Here is an 8649-nt window from a genome sequence, read left to right on the forward strand (position 1 = left end):
TTCCCTTTGAGATCCCACCATAAAATGAAAGTGAAGAAACTCGGTAACATCAGTCGCCCACTGTCAAGTGCCCACCCTACCATGGTGGAGGAGAAACAGAATGTGAGGTAGATAATTAACGGTCCCATCTTATGCAATCAGTACAGTGAACTAAATGGGGCAGGTTTAAGTGGCAATTTTGGCTCAAATGCCAGCTCAGCCACCAGTAAAGATGATGGGTTCAGAAGGGTTGGGATCATTTAGAGAAGTGTTTGTTTTCTGAGGCTGAAAGTGGGAGCTGTAATCTGGAACCTTTCATGCAACATGTGTTTCTGGTTCTTCAGATTCAATTGTTTTTTGATAGAGACATTGCAAATTATGAAAGCACAGCTCATGACCTAGAAGTTTTGCAGCACGATCGTTTCCCTTCTGGACAACTTCCTACAAGACTCTGGGTTGAAAACAGCAGGATGAATCCAGGCAGAAAGGAGATGCTTTGAATCTGATTTTTTCCTGCAACTTCCTTTTCCAAAATAAATAAATAAATAAATAAATAAATAAAAATAGCGGAATGATTCTCCAGCCATTGAAATCATTAATCTGCCCTCAATTAACAAGATTCTGTTTAGTTTTAAGATTTCTGGCCGGGCGCCGTGGCTCACGCCTGTAATCCCAGCACTTTGGGAGGCCAAGGCTGGTGGATCACGAGGTCAGGAGATTGAGACCATCCTGGCTAACATGGTGAAACCCCGTCTCTACTAAAAATACAAAAATTAGACAGGCATGGTGGTGGGCGCCTGTAGTCCCAGCTACTCGGGAGGCTGAGGCAGGAGAATGGCATGAACCTGGGAGGCGGAGCTTGCAGTGAGCCGAGATTGCGCCACTGAACTCCAGCCTGGGCGACAGACCGAGTCTAAAAAAAAAAAAAAATTCTTTCTTGTGTTGCTTTTATGTGTGTGTGTTTGTTTATTGACCTATGTGAAAGGAAAAGGTGTATTCACATTTTTACTATTCACAATTTCTTGACCCATAAGTTTATTTTATGCCAATTTAGACCTTCATGATCACCAATTTCATCCTGGTGATCAACATTAATTAACTTTCACTTGCAAGTAGCCATGTCCAGGTCTCCAGTGGGAAAGGACAGAGTCTGAGAATTCTCTGAGAGTCTGAGAATATGGGTTCAGGCCCCATATCTCCCTTTTTCTGGACATGGTCGACTGTTCGGCAAATCACTGATGCTCTTTGAACCGCAGTCTCCTTATCCTTTAAGTGAGTGAATTGGGCTGGATTTTTGCAATGCTCCCCTCCACCTCTACCTTTTTATCAGTTCATCTTCCATTTCTGTAACTGCATCCCCTTTCCTTTAAGTGTTTCACTCCCTTGTGTCTGTCTTTCGAAGAGCTTCTCATTCCCTTGTCTTAAATTTCACTTCTATGCTAACTCCTACACACACACATCTTGATGTATAGACACATGTACATAGATAAGAATAGATATGGATCCTGTATTGCTATTTAACCACCAGAAACTTGCACTTATCTGTCCTACTATCTTTCATCAAACCCCTTATCCAAATTTTGTAGAACTTGCTATTTCCTCCCAATACAGATATTCTCCATTCTGGACTTAAGGTCTCTTCTCTATGGCCTCCCCATTATCCCAGAACCTGCACTAATACTTAATATCCTTCTTTATCAATTGCCAAGTCCTATTGTTGTCTTCTGTCTTCGGAATCTGACATCTCCTTTCTGCTCCCACTCCCAGGACCCAGTGGCTTCGTTTCTCAGTAACCACCCACTTGATATCTGGCTCAAACCAGGAGAAAGTTCCCCAACAGGGAGTGGGGACTGCTCACTTGCCTGTCTCACTGTCTGTCATCGAAACCCACAAATGAGACAAAGAGATAATGTGGTTTAGGACTCAGCTTTCAGTTCAGAGGAATGGATGGCTGCAGCCCCAGGAAGAAATTGAAAAGCCAGGGAGCCAGATGCATCCCATGGGACCCTGCCCAGAGCTCGGCCACCGATTGCCCGGGACACCCACCCCAGTGTCCGTCAGACCCTGCCCTGAGCCCAGCCGCCAACTGCCTGGACACCCACCCCAGTGTCCGTCAGACCCTGCCCATAGCCTGGCCACCCACTGCCTGGGACACCAGCCCCAGAGTACATGAGACCCTGCCCGGAGCCTGGCCACCCACTGCTCAGGACACTAACCCCAGTGTCTGTCAGACCCTGCCCGGGGCCCGGCCACCCACTCCCTGGGACACCTGGCCCAGTGTCCGTCAGGAGTTTTGGCTCCATCTTTGCTAAACGCTTTTTGTGATTGATTTCATTTAGCCCTGACACCGTTTCTGTGAGGAAGAGACTGTTGCTGCTTCTGTTTGAGAAATGACAAAGCTGAGTAGCTAAGAAGTTAAACAGGCCCGTGCCAGGCCAGTGGCAGGGCGGGGGTTAGAGCCAAGGTCTGCAGGATTCCAGATCTGGGCTCTGAACTCCCTGCACTAATCTGCCTTACCTTTTAGACCAGCTCCTTTTGGTTTATTTTTTAACTTCTGTATTCTTTTTTTAAATGACAATTGTGAGACAAGATAGCAAACATAAAAAGCCATGTTTGCTCATTTCTGCTTGAACCCCTCACTGTGATGAAATGCAGTCCTCTGGAACAATGCCTTGAGGACAAGGCAGGACAGAGCCCGCGGCCACCCACATCCTCCCTGAGTCACTACATCCTTGAAAAGATAAATAACCTGAACCTTTGCCTTTGCCTGCACATAAGATAACGTCTGAAAGGGTAGTCATCTAGAACCAGATGTACTCTCACATCCAAACTTTGACGTGATTTTGCACATACTCAACCGCCGCCACTTGCATATAAGCTGTGGCTGAAACTGGTTTGGAGCAATCTGACCCATCTGCTCTGGGCCCTAGGTCTCAGCCTATTGTCCTCATTAAGACTTCTGAATAAAACTAACTTTAATTCTTTAAAAGCTTAATTTTTGTCTTTAGTCGACAACAACAATGGCTAAGAAAAAGCAAGTCTAAAGTGGTGTCCTCAGTGGAGGGAGAGTCAGTCTGCCCGTTCTTCATTTTTTTTTTTCTTTTTTTCGAGACAGAGTCTTGCTCTGTCTCCCAGGCTGGAGTGCAGTGGTGTGATCTCAGCTCACTGCCACCTCTGCCTCCTGGGTTCAAGTGATTCTCGTGCCTCAGCCTCCCAAGTAGCTGGGACTACAGGCGTGCGCCACCATGCCAGGGTAATTTTTGTATTTTTAGTAGAGACGGGGTCACCATGTTGGTCAGGCTGGTCCCAAACACCTGAGCTCAGGTGATCCGCCCACCTCAGCCTCCCAAAGTGCTGGGATTACAGGCGTGAGCCACCGTGCCCTGCCTGACAGCCCCCCTGTTCTAAGAATGGAAACTTTCTTCTATTTCTGTTGCCTCTGCCTCTGCTCCATTGCATCTTCCCTCCGCATCCTTAATGGAGCTCCTGAGCCCAGTTCAGGATGGCTGTCCTTAGAATTCCAGAGATTTGGTTGGGGGAGTCGTCTCTCGGGTCATTGCTTCCCATGGGCATGGCACCTTTGATTGACAAACACAGAAGGGCTTGTAAACATCTCTTCCTGTCCAGGACTCAACACCTTTTAAGATCCATGGTTTCTAAAGAAAAACCTGGATTTGGTTGAAACCATGCATTTTGTATGCCATGATTAGGAGGAGAGACAGGGGCTTCTTCCCAAGCTGTGCCCTGCCCTGATCCTGGTGAGGACCCACATGGAGTGAAACCCCTGAGGGGCACCACAGAGGGGTCGGGGAGGTGTGCGGCAGAGACTGCATGCAGGCCCTGGCATTTCCAGGGTTGTACTCATGCGGGATGGTTCTTTTGAATCCAGAGGTTTAGTCCCTAACAACTCAGACCTGCACCTGGAGGAGCACATCTTCTATAGGGGATGGCACCTTTTACTTTCACCTTAGAGTCCACCTCCCAGTCCCCATCCTCCCCGGGCCCCACTAAAAAGAACAGTGACCTAGACTGGGTTGTCCTGATATTTTTCTTGCTGCATTAGAAAAGAATGATGCTATCCTGGCGAGTTTAGAATCCTTTAAGGAACGCGTGATCAAACGGTGGGACTGCTCACATCGATACTGTCGGGAATGAATGTGCCCCTTCCCTTTTTCTCCCATACCCCAAATATCCTTGCGGGTTCCTTTGTTCCTGGGTTCTTCCACTGACAGGATGAGCAGGTGACTTCCTGTTGCTAAGGGGATCTATCCCACCAGTAAGTACTACGACCTCTGCCCATCCATTTGTAGGACTCGAGTCTCACTATCTGTTCCCTACATGAGGGAGCTGCCTACTAGAACAGCTCTCATTGACAACTGAGTCAGGGTTCTGTCAGGAAAACCTTCTATCCACTGCAGCAGAATTGAATATCTATAATCACCTCACTCATAAACCTTCACTGGCTCCCTATTTTCTGCCTCTATGAGTCAGTCCCAGCTATTCACAGCCTTCAAAACAAACACACTTTGGGGGGTCCCCTTGTCTGAAATGCACTTCTCCTTCTGTCTTATTCAGTCCTTCCTTTCTTGTTTCCTCTTGTCTTCCAGAACTCTAGAGTTTCTACTGGGTTTTATGTTTGAATTCAGGGATTCCATGTAACTCCATACAATTATAGACCACAGATGATTCCCTGGCGAATTAATGATTCAGAAGGTCAGCACTTTCTTTAGCTGAAGTAGAAGCTTCAGCTTCTACTTTATTGGATTCAGCTCAGTATCCAATAAAGGCTAAATAAGTTGGGTGTCTTCACCCGGTGCCCACTACAGAGCTGAACATGTCGTAGAGGCTAAATAAATGCTTGCTAATTGATTTAAAAAAAAAGAGAGAGAGACTGGACAATAAATATCTATTATGAATGGGATTTGCCTAAAGGGAGATAGAATTATCTGATTGACTGAAAATAGGAAAGGGACTAAAGGCTGTTTTGGTAGTTTTATATGAGTGTGCAATCAGAATTAGAGCAATTCAGTAAACCTGTGCATGTTGATCTTATCTGAAAAATGGAAGGTTAAAAAAAATTCTAAGCCTGGCGTTTATGTGAACAGCTGATGAATGACTTTAGTAATTTGTAAGCAAAAAGCTTAGAATTCCAACTTTGCTTTGTAAAAATAGCTTGAGTCACATTCTGAAGCTGGAAGGTTTTAGGCAAATTAATAATACAGGTGATTTTTCAACTTCTGTTGAGTGGGTAAGTAAATAACCTGAACTAGCAGAATCAGCAGTTAGCTAAGTGGTTCTCTCAAATGCATCAGGGACTGTGCCATTAATTTTCTCTGCTGTGGAGGTGGAGGATGATCCCAACACAATTCCTTCTTCCTTTGGCTTGGCCCCTTATATCCTTGATAGAGCTTAGTCACAGCTCTTTGATTAAATACATTGTACTGTGAAAGCTTCCTGGGATTTGTCAACTAAAACTAAAATCCTAAGCCCCTTAATGATGGAACAAACCCTCCCTAGGCCAAGAGAACCCCAGAAAAAAACTTAAAAATGGAGTTCCTGGGCCGGCCGTGGTGGTTCATGCCTGTAATCCCAGTGCTTTGGGAGGCCAAGGCAGGCAGATCACCTGAGGTCAGGAGTTCGAGACCAGCCGGGCCAACATGGTGAAACCCCCATCTCTACTAAAAATACAAAAATTAGCTGGGCGTGGTGGCGCACATCTGTAATCCCAGCTACTCGGGAGGCTGAGGCAGGAGAATCACTTGAACCAGGGAGGCCAAGGTTGCAGTGAGCCGAGATTGCACCACTGCACTCCAGCCTGGGCGACAGAGCAAGACTCCGTTGCAAAAAAAAAAAGAAAAAGAAAAAGAAGTTCCCGGCAATGATGGGGAGGGAGGCTGGACATACCTCATTATCCCCTCTCCCTTTTAATACCCAGCTGACCAGCATTAGTGTTAAAATAGAGATCATAAGACTAGCAAAATGGACTCTTTGTGACAATAAGATACCAAATTATAGACAAGATCTAAGGCCATGCAAGGCAAGGGTTAAGTCATACCTGCAGGCCCTCAATATTGCTACATAGCATCCTTATCTTAATTTAAAACATTCCTTTCTGCTGACTCCAAGTTTTAGAAAGAGCCTTACGCTTTTAATCAAGTAATCTCTGAATCCACTTATAACCGCTAAGCCCCTGCTTCAAGATATTCCACCTTTTTGGGCCAAACCAATGTATTGGTTCCCAGTGCTGAAGTATGTCTCTGCCTGTAACTCCTGCCTCCCTCATTATAAAACCGAACTGTAATCCAATCGCATGGGGTTCACTTCCTCAGGACTCCTTGAGACTGTATTTCCTTGAGCCGTGGTCACTCCTATTGGTCAGAATCAACCTCTTTAAAACATCGTATAGAGTTTGGTTTTTCTGTTAACTGAGAAGAGGCCCAGAGCAGGAGTGCGGAGTGTGAGGTGAAGCAAACGGCCAGCTTCCCTCTCCGCGCTTTCCCATTAACTGGAGGACAGGTGCTCTTCCTTAGATCTCTCAGCTCCCTCTCCTCATCAGAAGCAGAGGAACCAGGAGTGACCCTAATCAGAGTCTAAAATTAGGATCATAAATGAGAAAGGACCCTGAAAAGTATTATAACACTTTAATATATGGTATATAATTATCGAAGTTTACTTGCCATAAGACAGCAGGTCTGCAGGGTGGTTATCCTATCACACGCTGCAGAAGAATGAAGCTTGATCATTTTTGAATCTTTTAACAGACATTGCATTGTTGTACATGTGGGAGCCTGACTTTAATATGTCCATGTTGGCATGAAGGAGAGTGATCGCATGGGCCTTGGGCTGACCTCAGCCCTCCCACACAGGAATCTCTGCCAAATCCTCCCAATGTTAATACTTCACTTGATGGGTACAAAAATATAGTTAGAGAGAATGAATAAGACCTATTGTTGTTGTTGTTGTTATTATTAATATTATTATTATTATTATTTTGAGACTGAGTTTCGCTCTTGTCACCCAGGCTGGAGTACAAGGATGCAATCTCGGGTCACTGCAACCTCTGCCTCCTGGGTTCAAGAAATTCTCCTGCCTCAGCCTCCCAAGTAGCTGGGATTACAGGTGCCCACCACCACGCCTGGCTAATTTTTGTATTTTTAGTAGAGATGGGGTTTCACCATGTTGGCCAGGCTGGTTTTGAATTCCTGAGTTCAGGTGATCCGCCTGCCTTGGCCTCCCAAAGTGCTGGGATTACAGGTGTGAGTCATGGCACCCAGCCTATTATTATTGTTATTATTATTATTTTGAGACAAGGTCTCACTCTGTCACCCAGGCTGGAGTGCAGTGGCATTATCATGCAGCCTTGACTTCCTGGGCTTACTGCAGCCTTGACTTCGGCTCACTGCAGCCTTGACTTCCTGGGCTCAAGCCATTCTCCTGCCTCAGCCACCCAAGTAGCTTGGTCTACAGGCACACACCACTATCTCATGTACCCCATAAATATATATATGCCTACTCTGTACCCACAATAACTTTTTTAAAAAAGGAGAATGCAGAAAAAATTCCAAAATAACAATTACAATAATTCACCACATTAGTTCCCCGTTCAAGGACCCTTCCCGGGCATCATTCCCTATGTCCTCACAACTACTGGGTTCCTGCTCTGGGGCCCAGGTGGTTCCCTTCCTCCTAAACCTGTGGCCCAATGTCCAGCTCAGTTCTTGCCCCTGCCTGACCATGGTGCAGCTGCATGGAAGGCCAATGCACTTGACCTCTGTGGCCAGGGCCGGGCCAAAGTGTGCCCAGTGGTGGGTGCAGGTGGAAATGATGGGGAGTGGCCCCCCGCACAGCTCAGGCTTGAGGCTTCATGAACCCCATGAACCAGAAGTGGGGTACGGAGTCAGGCAGCAGCCACTTTCTTCTGTTGCCACAATCCCTTTCAAGGCCAGTCTTGCTGTGTTTGGGGAAATGATGTTTTGGGGTGACATTGCCTCTCTGGAGGGATATGATACTTCTGACACACCATGTGGTGTCGCCATTTATTTCTATCCCGAGGAGGTGAAGGATAGAAGATCTGAACTCTGAGGAGCAGGGGGCATCGAGAAAGGGTATTTTGATATGTGAGGCATAAATTGAAGTCTCAGCTGTGCAAGAAGGCAGGAGGTAGATATAGGTTCTCCATCCATGAGGTTCCTGGATACCTCTGATGTCCTGTTGTCAAAACATGTGTTTAATGCAAGAGAGAAAGAGGGAGTTGTGTTTGGTGAGGGGCAAAGAGAAGACCTTTCATCCCACCCCCAGTGGCATGGCGAGTAGGTGAGTAGCAGATGATGTCCAGTGAGGCTTCTGGAGAACATCTCTGTCTCCAGTGTGGCCCGGGTTCAGTGCTGGCTGTAGTGAAACCAAGGTTTGTTGCTCTAGGACCCACCAGGCAAAAGCAAGTTTCCCTTCCAACTAACGCCAGTTCCTGTGGATGTGCTGGGGTCTCAGCCCCACTCCCCCATCTCAAGCACCTTATCCAGCAGTCATCTCTCTTACCCGCTTTTTCACTGGATCCTTTCTATTAGCATTACAGTTTGCTTATATCACCCCCATCTTAAAATAACCCTTCCTCCCTCACTCCACATGGCCCTCCATCCAGGCCATTTTCCTCCTCCCATGTGCAGCCACAGT

The 8649-nt window shown here is 46.4% G+C and overlaps 1 annotated feature.

Annotated features, from left to right (window-relative positions):
* Positions 7805–8305: an enhancer, noted in NCBI's record as "H3K4me1 hESC enhancer chr16:47752345-47752845 (GRCh37/hg19 assembly coordinates)". NCBI's record gives its function as "activates a minimal SCP1, AML or CMV promoter by ChIP-STARR-seq in naive H9 embryonic stem cells {active_cell/tissue: H9 hESC(naive)}" and the evidence as "EXISTENCE:reporter gene assay evidence [ECO:0000049][PMID:30033119]".

This window comes from Homo sapiens, chromosome 16 (assembly GCF_000001405.40).
Source record: "Homo sapiens chromosome 16, GRCh38.p14 Primary Assembly".
NCBI lineage: Eukaryota > Metazoa > Chordata > Mammalia > Primates > Hominidae > Homo > Homo sapiens.